Source organism: Homo sapiens, chromosome 7, assembly GCF_000001405.40.
Source record: "Homo sapiens chromosome 7, GRCh38.p14 Primary Assembly".
NCBI lineage: Eukaryota > Metazoa > Chordata > Mammalia > Primates > Hominidae > Homo > Homo sapiens.
In genome coordinates, this window is record NC_000007.14 from 82,802,981 (window position 1) to 82,823,463 (window position 20,483).

The 20,483-nt window shown below is 32.7% G+C and overlaps 1 protein-coding gene across 6 annotated transcripts in view, besides 2 other annotated features; it reads right to left on the reverse strand.

Moving 5' to 3' along the window:
• PCLO (piccolo presynaptic cytomatrix protein) overlaps positions 1-20,483 on the reverse strand; it is a 408,873-nt gene that overhangs the window by 48,969 nt on the left and 339,421 nt on the right. For 3 of the 6 annotated variants that reach the window (XM_017012006.3, XM_047420211.1, XM_047420210.1), the window contains 3 exons: positions 19,515-19,709; positions 18,132-18,314; positions 2,708-2,849 (listed from right to left, as the gene is read on the reverse strand). In XM_017012006.3, coding sequence (XP_016867495.1) covers positions 2,708-2,849; positions 18,132-18,314; positions 19,515-19,709 — 520 coding nt within the window. Of the gene's footprint in view, positions 1-2,707; positions 2,850-17,496; positions 19,710-20,483 lie in introns of those variants that run through there. The other 3 variants (NM_033026.6, XM_047420212.1, NM_014510.3) reach the window with 3 other exon arrangements.
• Positions 2,174-3,373: an enhancer, noted in NCBI's record as "MED14-independent group 3 enhancer chr7:82434470-82435669 (GRCh37/hg19 assembly coordinates)". NCBI's record gives its function as "activates an origin of replication core promoter dependent on BRD2, BRD4, P300/CBP and CDK7 cofactors, and independent of MED14, by STARR-seq in HCT116 cells {active_cell/tissue: HCT116}" and the evidence as "EXISTENCE:reporter gene assay evidence [ECO:0000049][PMID:35650434]".
• Positions 13,177-13,722: an enhancer, noted in NCBI's record as "OCT4-NANOG hESC enhancer chr7:82445473-82446018 (GRCh37/hg19 assembly coordinates)". NCBI's record gives its function as "activates a minimal SCP1, AML or CMV promoter by ChIP-STARR-seq in primed H9 embryonic stem cells {active_cell/tissue: H9 hESC(primed)}" and the evidence as "EXISTENCE:reporter gene assay evidence [ECO:0000049][PMID:30033119]".

Below are 20,483 nucleotides of genomic sequence, written 5' to 3' on the forward strand. Positions count from 1 at the left end.
GGACCAAGTTCATGCAAATTAAGCAATTTCCAACATTTCCATTTTACCATATATATGTTAAACCATGGTCTGCATGGTCAACATCTGCATACATATTTAAGTAACACACAAAATTTTAGCTTATGTAATTGCTTCATCAAGATTCAAGACAAGTAGTTAAGAAAAAAAAAAGAACTCTGCTCTATCTGTTAGCATTAGAGGGGAAAAAAAGCTTAATAGCAGTAATCTTACTTTTATCAGTACGCTACACTGGTAGAGTGAACCAAAACATACCTTGTTGCTGAGCCAAACTCTATTGAAAGTGCAGGTCTTTTTAGTATTGGTAATCTAGTAGATCAGAATACTAAAAAATAAATATTCTTATACTATCCCAGACTTTTAAAAAGTAGTTACTGTAAGTCTTAGTAATTGTAGTACAAGTACATTTTGATAATTTTTGGGGTTGTTCTTGAGTCTTAGACTTTATATGTTAATGGTGATACCCAGCCAGTCTTTGCTTTCAATTGAAACTGATTTTAACATAGGTACTTAGCCAATATGTGTAGTAAGTACATTTTGAAGATTATACAAAAAACTTTCATAGGATTGTGAAGCTAAATTAAGTGCAAAGGAAATGTAACTGTGAGTCGTGTGAAGGATGTGGTTTCTCTGAATTCCCAATGACTACACTTTAGCTCAGAACATTCTGGCTATACATTTTATAATTTATATTTTTAAATAATCGCTAGATATTTATTAAACACTTTTACTAGCCCAAGCTATAATTTTATTAGATACAATGGGGGATATAAAAGAACTGCCAAATACTACTTCTTACACATATCCTATAATGGTTTTCAAAAGTAAATATTCGTTGTGCTCATATGGCAAAGCAAGAGTCTCCTAGACAGTTGTGAGAAGCTTTGATTTACAAGAGAAACAGGAAAATGGGAAAAATCAAAATTAGAATGTGGTATATATATAAAATACATAATCTACTTATACTGCAGACATTCAAATATTGACAAAATGACATATTTACTTTTTGGAATTATAACTTTACCATCAGTGTTAAATTATATATTTTGAAAGGTGCAGAAAAATTGGAAGGATAACAAATTATGTGTGGTTTAAAACCTTTCTAAATTCACATGACATTTACAGCTTAGAAAGAAATTTAAAGAATTTGTAGAAATTCTTTTCTGTCAAATTGGATCATCAGAAGTCAAAGACCAATGGGATTAGATTTCTTTTAGGAAGAATTTCCAATAAAATATAACTGATTAAGTACAAATAACTCTATTGAATCCATAGACTAAATCTCATAAAAGAAAAGAAAGCTAAGATGGACAGGTGATACAATAAGAATTTGCTTAATTTAAATTGAAAAAAATGTAGTTCAAAACAACAAAATGAACTCGTTTTTCACTGTAAAAATCTATTTTCACTAATGCTTTGCTTTTATAAACTGAACCATTATCAAAATATTATAATTGTTGTGGACATCAGAAGGAAAGATTTATAAGAACCTTTATTTTAAAACAAAGAGAAATAGACAATCCACCCCCTGAAAAGTCTTCACTTAGCATTGGAGAAAATGAAAAAGACCCTTTCACAACCCAGCTCAGGGTTGGCAAGCTCTGCAACGTGCCAGTTAGTAAATATTTTAGATGGGCTGTATTCTAACGACTTAATTCTGCCCTGCAGCACAAAAGCAGCATCAGGCAACACAGAGCTAATAGGCACGGTTGTGTTCCAATACAACTTAGTTTATATTCACTGAAATTTCAATTTCCTATAATTTTCAAGTGTCACAAAATATCACACTTCTTTTGTTTTTTCCTACACTTTCGAAAATGGAAATGCCATTTTTAGCTCACAGGTCTTAGAAAACCAGGTGGTAGACTGCTTTTGCCCTGGCGTAAACCCTGGGACCTGGGTGGCCCAGTGGTATTTTCAAAATCCAGAAGACTAGTTAATGGGCAGGAAAAGGAAAAGTCAGGAAGTTTGGATTTTGTTATTGGAACAGACATAATCTACATATTTATCTTAAATGCCACCAATATGACCAAGGCGATTCTAACACATTAAGTATGCTAAAGTTTTGCATTTGATTTGCAAAATGACTTTTTTTTTATTTTGAGGCTTAACATTATGAGTGATTCTTATTCCAAGAGTACCTACTCAGGGACCTATGCACTACTCGGTCTTTGTTCTAGAAAGTATGGAAACACTTCGAAACCTTCAATGTTAATTGTAGAAGGATTTATAGTTGAAAAGTCTGTATGATTATTCACTATGTCCTCTATTTCAAATATGATATATGGATTCTTTGAATATGTTTAAATATCTCCTGATTCAAGGTAAATTAATATATGTTTGTCTCAAATACCAGTAATGTTTGTATTTGGTCATTATGTGATTAAAACATTACTGTATTCCTGCTGAACTTTATTCTGGCATGGCTAAGTGATTAGCAGTTTTAACATCAAATACAGATTGTATTGATTAAGTAGTTCTGGCAGTGACTAACATTTATCCTTAGAATTAACTGAATTATCCAATCTTTCTTGAACTATCTATTTTTACATAGGCATTAACAGTTCAAGTGTCTCAGGGACAATGACTCAGAATTGGGTAATTATCCAGTTATTTCCTGTTAACTGTTGAGAATGCCTTACTCATGATGCTGAGTAAGCTTTGTAGTAACAAAAAGAGACCCACTTACATCCTCGGAATAGGAAATAGATTAGTCTCCCCTGCAGTGCTGCTGCTTCCTTCACTGTCCACGCTATACCCACTGCCAAAGCTGCTGCCCGAGGAGCCGGTGGACACAGAGCTTTCTGCAGGCCGGTGATTGGGAGGCTTTGCTGCATGGTGTGGGAAGATTCAACACCACAGTCAATAAATGAAGCTGACATTGATCTACAAATGCATCATTATACATCTTCTTAATTTACATGTGACAAGAAACAGCTACTGAAGAACTCTACATTTTTCAACCCGCCTTTTCGTTTCCTTTACTGATAATGAATGGTGGCAACAATAAATTATTTTACTGTTTTTATTGGACATCAAGGAAAAGCAATCACCTTTAGGGAAAAACACATTTAATTTTTAGACCAAGTTAAATAGTATGTAACTATGCTACTATTATTATTTTTGTGGTTTCTTTGTACAGTATTGCAAAAATGATATGGTAAATAAAAAGAATTTTGGCTATTTCATGGAGAAAAGAATTTAGAAAGACTTGGGTAGATAGAAATGGCAAGATAAAGAAAATTGCTTATTTTTTTCCTATTACTAGACTATAATCTGTTTTTCTCCTTAGAAACAAAAATGCAAAATAGAATTTTAAGAAGTGATTGAAAATTCTGTTTGTTTGTATGTACCTCTGCCTACTATCTCCAGCAAGGTTTTAAAATTTAAAGATATTTGTTTCTTTTCAGGCATTTCCTAGTTTATCATTGAGACTTGTCTCAAGAATTTCCTAAGTTTGATATTTGAATATAAGAATCCATATTCCCATACAGACATTACAAATTTGTGCAATAAATTATGCAGTAGGGGTATAGTACTAATATTGTTGTCAGATTTGAGAAGAAATTTTGATGCAAAAAGAAGGAAGATAAGGCAAGTGTTTCCCTGATTTTGCTGGGGAGAAGTTTCTCTAGTAAGTTTTTGAAATCGTTGATATTTGTCTTCCGCCAGAGAGAGTGAACTTTTCGGTCACACCGATCTGGTTTTGACTCCCAACCCACTCTTTAGCAACTGTACACTGCTTTTCTCATTTGAAAACAATGGGAGTCAGTAATGCCTACCTCATAAAATTGTGATTATGAGGAGTGAGATATGTAGGAGCCCAGTAACTTACTCTTCTTCCTCTTGTGATATTATTTGCCACATCACCACTCTTCTCATGGGCTTTACTGTCAACAGCTGTTTCTTACTGTCTTTGAGCTTAAATAGTCTTTGACAATGAATTTAACTCTATTCTCTTCTCAAGGTATCCCCACTCTTCTCAAGGGCTTTACTGTCAACAGCTGTTTCTTACTGTCTTTGAGCTTAAATAGTCTTTGACAATGAATTTAACTCTATTCTCTTCTCAAGGTATCCCCACTCTTCTCAAGGGCTTTACTGTCAACAGCTGTTTCTTACTGTCTTTGAGCTTAAATAGTCTTTGACAATGAATTTAACTCTATTCTCTTCTCAAGGTATCCCCACTCTTCTCAAGGGCTTTACTGTCAACAGCTGTTTCTTACTGTCTTTGAGCTTAAATAGTCTTTGACAATGAATTTAACTCTATTCTCTTCTAAATCTAGATGTGTTCAAACCTACAGTTCTACTTAGAGTCTTTTTTCTTCATAAATGCGTCCCTATCCCATTAGGAGTTTATTAGCCAGTTGGATAGAGTTATACTAATGGGTGAACAGTTGATAATCATTTCACGATCCTAAGATATCTACATATTTCTTAAGGATATGTATAAAAACACAATTATTCTTAATCTGGTGGAATTTTAACCAATATAATAACCACATGAAGTGAAACACATAAACATTGTGTGGGAAACCATTTGAGGACAGGAAATCCACCCTCAGGGTAGCTAGGATCAAGTCTTGCAAAGGATTTAACTTTTCCCCCATTTCTTCACTTTTTCAATTTCGTCGGTAGCAGGTTCTCTAAAGCCACAAGGAATTTTTATATATATTCCAGTGGTAGTAGGATCCCTTCCCGAGAATAGGGAACAAGAAAGAAATTGTTAATAGTTAGTCAATTGTATATCAGATGTGTATAAGTTAGAAACGGCTATTTAGGAAAATGTGTTCCTAACTTATAGACATCTGATATACAATTGACTAATTGAACTGAATGCTGTTAAACAACCAGTCATCAAGGAATTGCTAGTAACCCACAGGACTGGATTTGTGGAAACAGAATAGTTATGTTTCTGAATATTTTCTTTATTTTATGTAGAAGAAACCCAGATGGTGTAGTTAGTGTTAAAAAAAACTTCTTAAAAGAATAATTTTAAAAATGTAAAGGTAATGTGAGTAGGATGTAAAATGATGGACATGTATAAAGTAGATTAAAATGCATAACCTACATAATGAGTCAGATTAGTCAATTGATTATAAACAAAAGAAAGCTGTCATACTTTTTGATGGGATTCTATAATCCAATTCATAATTTTTAGTATGACATTGAATGGAAGACATTAATTTCATCAATTGGAAAATCACAATTTACTATTTTCAAAGATAAACCTTAATTATTAGACACTAATATTCAATCAATTTATATTTATTAAATTAAAATAATTTTAATTCAAGAGCAAACTCACAATGAACAAAAATAGCTACATTATAAAAATGATTTATTATCTATGTTTCAAAATCGTCCATCCTTTGTTTTGTCAACTTTGGTTTTACCTGATGCGATTTTTAGTTCTATTCCTCTTCTGGAAAAGTTGAGAAATGTGTACAGAATATAAAATAGCATAATAAGAAGAAAGAAACAAAGCTAGAAATAAATTTAAGAAAAGACAGGTTTTTTTTCCATCTTGCCAATCTCTTTGAATAGAATTCTCATTTTGAAAGCCTGTGCAAGTGTTGTCAATATTTTAAATGCAAACAAATAACATTTTATAAGAAATATTAAAAAAGAAAACCAAATCCAGGGGACATTTACCTATGATGGAATCAGTCTAACATCTCTGCAAAACATGATTACATCTAAGGTTCTGTCTATGGAAATTTTAGGCAGTTAGAAATTAGGTGAATAATTCAAATGAATCTAGTTATTTGGAGTTATCACAACAAAACATCCGGTGCTGGATTAAATTCTGTATTCTTAACTTGGTATCTAAGTGTAGTGCAGAGATATATAGCCTCACATTTGGTTAGTTTCTGAAAAATGAATTAAATTAAAACACACAACAGATCTTTTCTTCTTGCTGGGCTGTATCTGCATATCATAAAATGTGATAAAACAAAAAATGGAGAGGTTTTGATAAGCTGGTTCTAAGAATCCGTATTTTAATATATCTTTTCCAGATACTTGAAACATGTATTTACTCATTTCTTTCTCTTGAAACAGACTTCAAGAAATAAAACATCAATTCTATTAAATTGAGCTAAATCTGCATAAAGGCAAACTTTTTTTTAACAAATAAAGTGTATTTAGGACTTTATTATCTGAGGCTGGATCTTAGGTAATTTCAAGACATCTAATAATTTCCACCACATTCTTTATTTTGCCTCTCAAAAGAGTTTTTTATTGGTCTGGTCTTTCCAAATATATCTCTTGTAATTCTCCTTCAAACACTTTACATGGAAGCCCTCTCAGTCCATTCACTCTGGCTCCCTTTGGTTTGGCTTTTTTCTTTCCAACTTTACTAAGCTCTCTTTTATCCCATCACTTTCTTGTATCTAAATTAAAGTTATCTGTAAAGGCCTAGCTCAGAAATCACCTGCTTCATGCATTTTTCCTCATTCTCCCATTCAGAAGTGACCTCTCCTATGTCTGGACTCTTGTAGCACATACTCTGTCGTTATTGGAAGCAAAGCCTATGTTTTCTCCTTGGTAACTTCCTTAAAAGCTTGTCCCGGAACCATGTTTGAACAATATTTAATGAATAAGTAATAATAATAATAATACATTAATACTTCTTTCCTTTAACCAATCAAAACATCTGAATGATTTAGTAGATAATTTCACTTTTTAAATCAAGCTTTGTGTTTTATACAAATCATAAATTTCTCAACAAGAAGTCCACTTGATATGGAAGCTTTTTTTCCATGTTCTTTGTCAAAGAAACTTTAGGGAGTCATTTTTTTTAGCTTTTAAAATCAGAGATAACTTTACTCTGTCATACTGTATAGAAAAAGGTGATCATTCAACTATATTTTTTAACCCCAATCTCCCAAAACACTGGTTTGATTGAAGGAAATATTTAATGAGAATACACTAACCATCAGAGATTATAAGCTTATGAATTTCAAAAAGTTCATAATCACAAATATTACATATATATTTAAAATGAAAGTGACAAAAGAAAATAATATGTAGAGTAACATTCTGTGGGAGCCAGCACTATTACAGACTCTAGAACTTGTCCTGATCCCATGTTTGTATGTAGGTAGTTGGAGAGCTCTGGGTTATATTTAAGTGTAATATATCTCTATTTTTTATGTTATTGAGGGAAATAATATTTTAAACACACTAAGTATAATCTTCCATAATTTTATAATTTCAAAATCAAAAATTTAGAAATATTCAACTTCTGCTTTATTCTTCCAACTCTTTTAATTAGAGTTTCAGAAACCAAGGACCTACTATGTGTGAATGTATTACACACCTGTGTATTACATATGAAAAAAGTTTATATAAACATTGAGAGGCTTTTCTTAGTAATAAGATACATCTTTGGGGCCATTTTTTATGAATTACATTTTTGTGTCTACTTTCTTTTTGAAATCTTAAGTGTATTACTAAGTACCAAGTAAAGGAAAGAGTGGATGCTATAAATATATGATAGAATCAGCTCACTCATAGAAAGGGTCCTGTGCCCTAAAAGAATAAATCTTAGAACGTTGAATCATTTTTGTAACTCAATTAATTGAGGGGGCATTTCAGGTAAACAAATGTTACCTTCTGTGATGCAATTCAATCTGTTTTAAATTATTCTTTGACCATTTCACTTTCTTTGGCTGTTAGATGGTTCAACATCATTGTGTTTTATTACTCCATTGTGGCTAACCTTAATTAAATCGGTAGTGTCTCTTTGACTGCACATCTGTCTTCAATTAGTTTGCTCTGTTGGCTTTTCTTCCCTCTACCACACAGTACTTAAATATGCAAAGCTATCACTGTACTTACCACATGATGGCAGCACTTTGCTCTGAGAGCACGGATTAAATTGTAGACTTCACTTTTACTACTTTTATATCACATCCAGTTATCTGAAATTTAAAAGGCAAGGTCTCTGCCTATCCTACTAAATTCCAAAAAATTAGTGTTTGGAATGTAAATAGGTTGCTGTCTATGATGTTCCATTATTGGTTTTATATCTTTGGTCCAGCACAGAGCTATTTCCAAATATTCTGAGGAGTAATTTATTATGTAGGTAGCTTGTACTTTCCCAAATTACTTGGTTAATACAGTAGTAAATATCTTCCTAGATACAGTCTCTAAAATTTTAAGATTAACCGAAATAAAAAGCAATCAATAATTTTGTTTATTCCAATACTTAATGATGGAACGGAAATAACTACCTAGCAGTTTTAGAAATCAAGTATTTGGGAATTTTTACCCCCTGTAGCTAGCTTTAATTTAGCTAGTATTTACTTCAGGTACCTTTCTCCTCTCTTTCTTTGTTTCTTTCTCTGTCCATCCCTCTTTCCTTTCCTTCTTCCCTCCTCCTGTCTCTGTCATCTACCTGTTGTTATTGCTGTTACTGTTTTTGTTTTTTGATATTTTTACTAAAGGGATTTTGCAGTTTTATCTCATGTTTTAATTTTCTTTTGAACGTGGACCTGAAAATTTCAGGTTTTAAGTGTCATTGTGCCAGCATTATTTGGAATGTTTTCCCTTGAATTATGTACAATCACACTTCATGTATGTTTTCTATTACAGTTCAGGGGTTCTAGTTTAAGAAGAGGTACTGCATCTTAAAAGTAATTTAGAAGTTTAATTTTTTTCCAAATCTACTTCAGTATAATTATTATCTATTTGGGAAAATCTAAAGCAAACTGGACACTAGAAAAATGGGCTAGCTTCAATAGAGCTATTTGTAGTTTTCACACACCACCAAATCACAAGTTTTCACAAATACAGGTGTTGAAACTCTGATATCTCTATCAGTCATTTGTAAGTCGTTAGGCATGGAAGTTGAAGGAAGGATGTCATTGACAATTTCTTTTTTAAATGACAAATTATTAGATGACTATTAGTCATTACAGATATATTTTATATATATATGTAAACAATATATCTATTATAAAGGTATGACAAGTCATGAGAAATGGAATGTTGCAGGCTTTTTTCTTATAAAAATAAAAATATTTCCCTTAAGATATGTCATATTCACATAGTAGCTCCTTTTAGAGAAGAAGATGAAGACGGGTTGCCTCCATTTGCTGTGTTCCAGAAAGATGGTAAATCTCGTATATTCACAGTTTTCTCTCTCCATGCACATTGGCCTTATGACTGAATTCTTAATGACATCTTAATGAACAATTTAGTTTGTTTATAATGATTCATTATCTGGCTTTATAGATAATAAGATCAATGATCACTTCAGGAAACAGAAGTAATCGTATAAAACAATGTAACAAATGAAAATGAAGTTAGCTTAACTAATAGCACGGTATAGAGGAATTTTTTCTTACATGAAAAAATACATGTTGGCTCCGTATACTATAATCCTTGCTTTTAAAAGGAAATCATAATGTTGCCTTTTAAGTAGGTCTTCCTTTTTTTGAGGGGTTTTTAGTTCAGAAGTGATTTTGGAAGAAACCACTTAAAATATAGTTTAAGTGAGAATTAAAATTGTATAGTAAATAATGAAAGAAAGTTTGACTAAGACATTATCATAGATGAAAATTAAGAAAGTAAATTCATTTTGTCTTTAATAAATTCAGGCCGTAATTCCAGCTATGTTCGAATAAATAGAATGAAAAAAGAATGTATCCAGTGCTGAGTTCCGGTTTGGTGCTATAAAATGCAAATACAATAATGATCTTTATCTTTAAAAGATTAATAGCATGGGGGATCATATGTGAAAGAAAAAACATTCAATTTTGAGCTACATCAAATTTTCATGGGCGATTTTTAATTTTTCAATCTTCCTTTTATTCTCTTTTGAAGCAGAAGCATTTTCTTTCTTGCTGTTTGCTTGCACTACACTTGCATTAGGCTGTCAGATAGGTATTTCCAACTGACAATTGGAGAAAAAAAAAACTCAAGCAGGAATAAAGACTACTGTAAAACATGCAGGTTTGTTTGAGTAAAAAGTCATTCTAAAAATAGTCATTTTGAAAAAAGTTCTTACATAATCCTGAAACTGTGAGAACTTACATCACGACTGCTTAGATAACAAGAATGCTGTCCTTAAATGGAATCCGAACATTTTGAAAATTCATTAAATTTTGCCCAAATGAAAAAGGTTGAGCACATTTCCAGTTTGTTTTCATATTATTCCAATTTGGTCAATGGCCACGAAGTAAAGAGGAAGTTTGGACAGTTATTTGATAAATGCACGTCTGGTCTCATGAGACCTAACCTCTCTAGCTAATGTCATTAATCTTTCTCCAAACAGATTATATTAATGATCTATTAATCTATAACAATCATTTCATCAATCTTTCTCCAAATAGATCCTTAAAAAATACTTTCTGTCTATATATAGATGGTTATATTGCAGTGGATTGTACAGGTTATGATAGAACCAGAGGCAGAACAAATAAATTATAATTAATTATATTTTCCAGATATTTTTAAACATGATGATGTTTGGTTGCACCTAAATGTAAATCAGTGACCAATTGCATTTTTCTTTTTCCTCTCAGTTGAAGATAGACAAAACTCACTTTTCTGACTCTTCATAATTTTTTCCAGATACCTTTAAATTGATTATTCAATAAATATTACTAGCATGAGAGATTCATGAAGACAGTAATATTTGTCTATTTTGTTTGCTGTAGTATCACCAACACCTTGAAGAGGTTCTGTGACATTATTTGCACTAAAAATAATATCAGCAAATGTATGTAAAAATGATGACCTAATAAAAGTAATTCAGATCATATTTTTCATAAATGATAAGCACGTTTGCAAATATCCTTTTGGCATTAAATATTTTGAAACTCATCAAATTATATACTTGAAATTGAGGATCAAGTATTTCGTAAGAAGCTTTCCATTTTTCCTCAAATTTGAATGAAAGTGATAATCTTCAGTTTTTCTATTGTTATGCCAATACAATTAATTTCCACTATATGGGATCAGTAATGTAGATAATGGAAGATGAAATTAATTGATAATTTATAAACAACTGTTTTTCTATAAATGTTACTTTCAAGATAAGAACAAAAAATTTTATTCTACCTTTATAACACTTCTGTCACTCTACTTCAGCTTGGAAGCAGCTTGATTAAAGCTGATAGGCAACTTATGAAATTTCAAAAGGAAAAAGTAACAATTACGGATGTGTAAATATAATTTAATCTATATCATTCCCAATAAAATAAAAAATTGCTATATAAATTGAAAAAATGTCATTTGTCAATCTTAATAATTATAAATTAACATCAAATGAGAAAGGAAAGAAGGGGTTCTGAAATGCAATAGAAGAGATATATAAGATACAGAAAATTTGGAGACAAACATGATAAACATGTTTTGGAAGAAGTCCTTGGTTATTCAGTCTTTGACTATTGTAAAAATTATGATTGTGCATAAGTCTAAGTTGGTGACTTTTATATATTTTTAAGCTTAAATATATTTAAACACTTCAACATAATTTAATTTATAATAATTTATAAATTATAATTTAATATACTTAAATGTTTAAGCTGGACAACAAGCTTAAATATTTTAGTCTTATCTTAGAACTTATTTAATAATCCAAAGAACTTTATGTTATGTAGGTTATATCTACTGATATTTATCATATTCAAAATAAATAAAACATTAAAACAAAAAATCAACAAGCACATATTCCATTAGTCATCAAAGCAATGATAACATGACACCTTATGTAGCTGCTGGAAAACTCCACTGTACACTCGAGAAAAAAATGAGAGCAAAAAAGCAAATAACATGTTAATCTTCTCAAGAATATTTTGACCTTGCAGATCCCTGAAAGGGTTTCTGGGACATCCCCCGCCCCTACCAGGAATCAGTGAGAATTACTGGTCAAGACCCACAGTCATGGAAATGAAGTACTGTGAAAAATGAGAAGAAACTGATTAGCATCAGTTTCTTTGACAGTCACCTTAACAATTACATATGTCAAGATCATTTTATCATGCTATTTATTTTTAATTTTGTGTTTTGTACTGAAAAAAATATCAAGTTTTCAGCTTTCTTGAAGAGATTCATTATTGATATTAGCATTCATTTTAATTGTCTCTAAGCTTCTTGTTTCACTCAGAACTTCACAACTCTAGAAATATATGGCATGAATTAAAAATATATTTTATCATAAAATCTTGTCTATTTTTGGTTAAAAACGAACAAAACAAGAAAATAACTATGTTATTGTGCACAGAAACCCGGAGTAAATAATGATAATTGGCAGGCATAAAATAATGCAGATTCTTCCATAAAGAGGTTTTGTGTTCATAAAGTATCTTTTGTACATTAATAATAGTTGGATGGAAGCAAAATGGTGATTCAATAGTTATTGACTTTATTAAATGTCATTGGCAATGAGGATGCTTTAAAACAAAAACTACATAATAGACCTATATAGAAAGACATTTGAATTAGGTAGTTGTAAAAATATGTTTTCTATATTTCTCTATATTCCAAGTTCTTTTTATAAAAAGAATCAGATAAAAATACAGTGTGATCTATAGAACTTGAAATACATGGTTTTCAATTTGAAATGTTTTAATGAGGAAAAGTGAATTTTGCTATGTTCTTTTTAAGAACAATATGGTAGAAATTATATTTCTCTACCTTTCTTATACATTTGGAAATAGAAACCTGTGATCCTGACTTTTACCAAACATTTCTTCTGAAAAATTTTTCTGCCTTGTTTGAGTTGTGGTATTAGGTTGGTGCAAAAGTGATTGCCGGTTTTGCCATTACTTTCAATGGTAAAAACCACCATTACTTTTTGCACCAACCTAATATTATTTTGATTAATCTGTTCAAATTATAATTAAATTAACGAATTATACTTTTCAGTATCTAAAACACATTAAAATATAAAATGATGGTTAGATCTACGTCATTCCTATTCACACATCTACCAAACTCAACACCCCGATCAAAATTTTATATTTCGGATATAATTTGGTTTCATTTGAAAATTCATGTGTTTTTGGCTTTTTAGTGATTCATTATATATTTACATGTACAGCACAGTAATAAAAATGGAAAAGAATATTTTCATGGTCTTGTTCAGTATACATGAAAATTCCCTTCATCTTACCCCATACCCACGTTTCTTCCCCCAGATCATGTTGCACAATGAAGAATGGGTGAAATATTATGGTTTACATGATGTATGTAATACATGTGGATGAAAAGTGGAAAAATAACTAAGCATTTCATGGATAGTTACATATCTGGATTTGGGGACTATTATTAAATCAACAATTAGTGTCTTTGGCATTCCTCTACCACTCCTTGGGCAGCATATCCCTGGTTCCATGATCCTCCTATCCAAGTGAGAAAGTTGCCTGCCCCATGCTCTTATTGTACCCTGACTGCCCCCCACTGTGTCTCCATTGGCATTCTCATTGCCCTCCCCCATCAGCATTTACTTGCCTGTCTTACTTCCACAGGTCCTGCTCCCTGGTGGTAATTTGATGAACTAACTTTTTGAAAATAATTGCATTACAAAAACTAGGCTTTATGGGTATTATTTTTAAAGACATGTCATAAATAATATTTAAGAAACCTTGGTATGTTAAAATTTAGGCCTTTCTCTTCTTCTTAGATCATATATTAATAGTCTCATCCTCATTATTTAGGCCCATAGCTAGACCATATGACTAAGGCATAACAATTTTGAAGCCAAGTTTGGTGTTTAGATGGGCCAGTTGGTCTTACTTTTCACGTCAGATGAAATGAACATATAAATCCCCATTGTGGACCAGACCAAAGTATGCAGATGGCTCGGTGCAGATCCATGGCTACTACTGGAAAAGAACAGAAGTACCCATTGATGGTAGGTCAGTGAATTCATCTTCAGGAATGAAGATCCATAAACAAGAGATAGTGTGATATGGTCAGAGTTCTACATTTACTGTCTGATTCTGTATGTATAGCAGAGGTATTTCCAGCAATAAATTTAAATGACTATAGAAATATTTGAAAATGCATAGTCAATCATTCCAAGAAAATGTAGAATCTCTCAAAACCAAAACGTTAGAAAAGCATTTTGATTTTCACAGACAACAAAATAAATCCTTATCACCAGAGAAATAGGTATAGAACTCTGAAAGCTGAAATTGTCCAAATTGATTCTCTCAGATTTTGTTGGATGTTTGCTATGCGCATGTCATTACAGTTTGAATTTTCTTTTTATTTTAAACTGCTCAAGGTTTAAAAAATTTTTTTGCACAAACACATGGAAATGAGGAATGTAAAATTTGTTTTTATTAATCTTGTACATACAATGTTAAAGAAGACTTCACCTCCAAATGAAATTGATTTCTCTTATGCTTTTTCCTTTATTTTTCTTATGGGCCTGACCTTTACAGAAACAGGGAAGGCTAAATTCCTTCTGACCAGAAGTGATCATCTGCTTCTGGTCAAAAGAAAATGGGATGCTGATTAGCTACTATCATCTGTACCCAGCAATTCCCTCCACTCCCAGTCCCACCCACTCCCAAACCCATCCACCCACTACCACTTGCCCAAGGCAGCAGCTCCCACAGAGTGATGGCTTAGTAAGAGTTCACCAAGGCAACACATGGATATGAAACTCTTCTTTGACAGGTGCCGCAAATGAGCTTTATTGAAAGCGGAGTTTCCAGTAGTGGTCTGTGGAAGTAGCATCAGGCTTTTCTCCTACAATTCAGCCACATCAGGGAACTCGAAATCATATTTCCTTGCATGACCTATTTAATAATTTATTGTCTCACCTAATCTCTCCAACCTGTCCCAGTGGCTCTTGTTTTATTGACCAGGGTAGAGGGATATTTCTCCTCATCCTGTATTGCCTATTTCTAAATTTAAAACTCATACCTAAAATCTTAGTATCAAACAAAAATAGCTCAGGTTTTTCACACTTAAATTTAGTATATTGGATTTCAACTAAATAAATCTTCAAGGTTTTAGGAATGCTTCAACTTGTTTTGGTCTTGATATAGTTTTCAAACAAACCAACAAATAAAAAATCTTTTGAAATGGCAAGGTTTGTGTTCAACCAAACCAACTAGCATGGGGAAAACAACAACAACAACCGAAAACATTTCCAGAGGTTTTTAACTACGGAGAGTTGTTTAGGCCTCAGGATGTTTTTGCACAATCTGTCTAATCTTTCCCGTCAGGTGTTTTAGCATACAACTAAACCCCAGAGGGAAAGAAAAAATTCCTTTTGACTCACTCCATAATTCTTGTTTGACCCATATTTTATGCTAGTTCAAGCAGAAATCTGCTGAGAAGCTTACAAAAAATCTTTGAAAAGCTCTTTAGGGACAATTTTGTCACTCTTGATAGAAATGCCTACAGATGGACCCGCAGCCTTTTCTAATGGAGCTACAAACATTGCCTAATGCCTCACTGGGCTTGCACAGTGGGAAGGCTTCCTTTTGTTGGGTTAAATCAACAACCTTTAGAAAGGAGGACCATGTAGGCAGAGAGTATAAATGGAATTCCGCCATCATTTCCAGCTACCTCTAATCGTTTGTAAGAACTTAAGAGATAAGTCATAAATAAGTACATGACTGTTCTTATTAAAATTAGGAGAGTTTGATTTTAAAGGAGACAATGTATTCAAAAATTATAACTCAAAAAGTCACAAGACAATGTTATATTTGTCGGTTCTGAAAATTTCTAGCTGTGTGTTCTTATATCAGCCAGCCTACCCCTCTGACTCTGATTGCTCACGCATAAAACAGGGATAAGAATATTGAAATAACTACCTCATCCACTTAATGTGATAAAATGAGAAATGGATGACAAAACACTCTGTACAACATGAAGAACTATTCAAATGCAGAGTATTATTTTCAGAATGCGGATGGGATTATACGAACTCCATTGTGAGGTTTGAAATGGGACACTTTTATCTCAACACTTATGATTATTACTAATACTTCTGCAGTTAGTGAACAGGAACTTGCAGGTTCTTTTTATATGTTTGTATCTCTGCCTAGTTTTTCTCTCTGCACTTTAAACAAATTATATTGCATTTTATATAAATTTAACACTATAGTATGTTTGCCTGAAGTGCCTGGAAATATACATGGATCAATTATATTGTTACACTTATAATAGCAGAAAAATTATACTTTAGAAAACAAGGCTTTTTAATTTATCGTCTATTAGAACAAAATTAAACATGAAAGCATGCTGTGTTATCTAGTTTTCCTTTCAATTATGATTTTAATGAAGAGTGACTTCTAAGTCAATCACAAGACTAAATGTTTGAGAATATCTATTAGAACACTATTCAAAAAAAGGGATTAAAAACACTTTAATATAAATTTTAAGGACTATGTCTAGGAAGAAAATCATATAAAATGTCATATAGAAACACTTAAGTCACAATAATTAAAAATAAGGTGTGAAATAAGGGAAGTGTTTGATTACTGTGAAATTTATAATTGAAAGAATATTTAAAGAACGTGAATAACATGAAGAAATCAACTGAACTTATTTGATGGAAGAAAAGGTGAGAGGTGGAATTTTAAAAATGAAAGTTTTAGTAAGGCTAACAAGAAAAAAGAAATTGTGCTTTGATGATAATCTATAAACTGGGCTGAGTAACACATATTCAGAATTATCCTAATGTTTAAGCTGATTGTTTCCTTAATTACCTAATTTAGGAAACACCTCAGTGGTTTACCTCTGTAATGCGACATATATCTTACATTGCCACCACATATATAATTAATAGGGAGAAGGACATATGAAATGTTTTTAATTTTATGAGAATAAAAAGAACGCAATAGGAAAGTATAAGGCTTGATTTTAATTTTGTGCCAAATATAGACTCATAAAATCAAATATTTTAGGGCTGAGAGGTACTTAAGGGGGCAAATAGTACTATCCTATTTTAAAAAAACATTATTTTAATATGTGCTTTTGAATTAAATTTGAAGATAATTGTATAATCACCCTAGCTTCATTCCTTGTCACTGGCAGTGGCACTCTTTCTTGGGGGAAAATTCTAGCAATGTTGGGGTCAGGTTACAGATGGATGTAAATTTGCTTTCCTTTCTGAACAGAGCTATGAGTTGAAGGTTGGCCACTTCTGCAAAGCAAGAGCTCATGGAATTTACCTTCCTCTATCCAGGAACCTGAGAAGATTGCAAAGTAGATCAGACGTGGGAGAGAGAAATAGCAGAAGTGTTGCCTAGGGCAGCCCAATCCCATTATTTATTTACATTTTAATGCAATCTCTGATGCTTTCATTTGGTGACAATTTTCCATCTATCTTATAGTGTTTCCAAGATGGAACTTTGTCCTGCTCTCAAATGTCCAATCATTACAGCTGTCACTAGCAATGAGGCAGTAATTAAAATCTATTGCAACGAAATCAATTGAGAAAACAAAACTGACACATTCATTTTAAGCTGCATCATATAACAATGGCTCAGAACCCAGTAGTTTATGAATGAAATAAAGATACTTTATTTATTACACAGGCACTTGGAGATTCACATGCCCAACACATCTGATACACTTAACAACTATGGAAACACGAGTGGAAAATGTCTGTTTGTAGGATCAAGAGAGAACTTTCACCATGTAAAGGTAAATGAGTGCATTAACAATTTTTCCTTTACTTTCCTCTAAGAATTTTCAAAATCCACTAAATTTTTAAAAGTTACACTTGAAATAATAGGCAAAAAACACTGATCCACATTCCAACTGGTAGGCTAACTTGAACTGTGAGCAATTTAAACTTTTATCACAATGAAACATATTTATAGTCATGCTTGAACAGATTAGGTTAGTAGCATGCATTCCATTCTGCAATATGAATATTGTTAATCTATTTCCCAACAAAAGTCAAAAGATGCCCAGTGCATAGAAAAATACAAATCACTGTAGTCAATATATTACGGGACTGATCTTGGGACTTACATGGTGATGATGAAGTCCTGAAATGCCATGCCCACAAAAGCACATTAAAAAGTGGATAAACATATTTTATCAGACAATCTCTAAAAATTAAAGATGAGAGCTTTAAATTTGGGGATGTTCTTGCTGTGTGCTTTGAACAGGGCCTTTCTGCTCACCTCCTTCTGGCTTGACTGGTCCATCAGACATCACCTTCCTGAGGGCTAGCTGGCTTTGGTCTTGGTTGCCATTGGCTGGTGGAGGCAGATTATCAGACTGAGTTCTTTGAATGGGGAGGACTCCTGCTATGCTGTGTCTGTGCTGCTTCCTGGCATGATTAGACTGACCGCTTTTATGTGCTGCTGTGGCAGTGTGGGTGAAATGGAAACCCAGAGTATGTATCCTCAGATGGAACCAGCTTAAATGTTATTCATGCAAACAGAAGTGCTCTTTTGCTCTATTTAAATAGGTTGTGTTTTCAAATGCCAAAATGACACCACATGCACAGCACTAAAGGGGTTTAAAACTGGCTGTTTCTTTGAAAATGATGACTAGGGAGATGGAGAGAACAATGATCTATCTCCATTGCCTGGCTAATGCCTTTTAGAAGTAACAGGGTACCTACATTTGTGAAATATTTGCACATATTAAGTTTTTATATAATTATATCAATCGACTAAATTTTCACAAATGAAATGAAAATACAGCAGTTAAGATAGGTCAATTGTTATACTTTGATTGACTTATAGCTACCAGACATAGTATATCTTGATTTCCAATGGTTAGAAAAAATATCTGTAAAATCTGTCATCACATACAAAGTGTGATCCAACAGAATGGACCCAATTGTGCTCCTCAGTGAGGTTGCATTGCCTTATCACATATGCTTATACATATATTAATTTAATGTAGTTTTTTGAGAATGTAAGAAATAAGATTTTCTTCACAGATTTTTCAGAAGACTACAATTTTTTGCACATGGAAAGCTACCATATTTCAGAAGCAAAATTTGTTAGTGTTTTAAAGCACTGTCTTGAAATGGCTTTTCCTCCAAGGTTCTAGAAGTTGACTGTTGGTTGCATTATCTTCTGCCTAGACTTTTTGAGTGTTTTCAGATACAAGAATCTAATTGCAAATCTGCTCTAAATACTTATATGTGTGCACTTTTTTTTTTTTGGTATAAGTCCTGGAAAACTGGCAGCCACTTGTGCTTATAATTTCTGTATTCTAAAAGATATTTAAGCGCAAACAAAAAGGACACACAACATTGCTTTGCTTCCAAACATCACAGACACTGTATCAAATGCTATGAGCCAGGTTGGATGGATGGTGGAAACAAAGGAGAAACAGCCAGTTTTATTTCAGTCTATGTAAATAAAAAAAATCTAAATAAGAAAGAGCATATTAATGTATTTATATCGTTCTTACACAGACAAAGGGACAGAGAACAGGGTGAGCAGAGGATGTTGAAAACTGAAAGCAAACAGGAAAGGACAGCAGGAAAGAAAGGCAACAGATGAACATTAAGCTGCCATGCTGAGGAATTTATTTGCGTCTTTTACTTGGTTGAATGCGGAGTTGTTGCACGGCAGCTTCGGCAGCAGCTATGGCAGCCCCTGCATCTTCCAGGTGGGTCTGAGTGACGCTGGTTTTGCTTTGACTGCGAGATGGTCCATGAGAACGGAGATGGCCTTCTGATGATGATTTTGAGCTACCAGGACTACTATGGGATTTCTCAATGGTGGGAACCTGCATGTCTGGTCACAAAAGGGTAAAACATGAGTTAAAGTTGTTCCAGCATTCCTCCTATCAAGCTTGGTTTACACATAATTTGAAACTGCCTAAAATTTATGTTAATTCTGAGTCTTATATGATTCATTTATGCAACTGGTCATCATACAGAATGATGATTAAACATCTGGGAAACAATTTGGGGGAGGAAAGGCAAAAGGATGATAGCAATGAGAAGAGAGAACTTTGAAAAAAGAAATACATTCTGACTAGCTTCTAGTAATAAATATGTTAACTTTTAGTTTCACCAAGCACCTCTGCTAATTCCAGCAGAGGTCAGGTAGGAGACAATACACAGGAGGAGTTTTAAGCAAAAACAGGATGAAGGATGTGAATCACTAGGACATATTAAGTGTGGAGATTGTAGAATCATGCCTCAAACCATTGTAGAGAATGTATGGATCACGTATTTCCTAAGGCAGTCATAGAAAGAGATCTTTATACTAATGATCATGCAGTATGTTAAGCAAGATAAGAGTTGAGATGGCTAAGTGGAACCCATAAATGATCTATAAAACTCATTCATAAATAATCTACAAAACTCGTAGTCAGCAGTTTATGATATCAACTCAGTGGCCTACTGGACATGGACTCACTTTCTCATCTCCTAGAACACTTGCATTTATGATTCAGAGAATCTCATGTACAAAGAACCACTTTACAATTTGCTGGACTTTCCTAGAAAAGGTGACAAGGAAGTAATACTCAAGTCCAATATAAAAATTATATTTAATACTTAC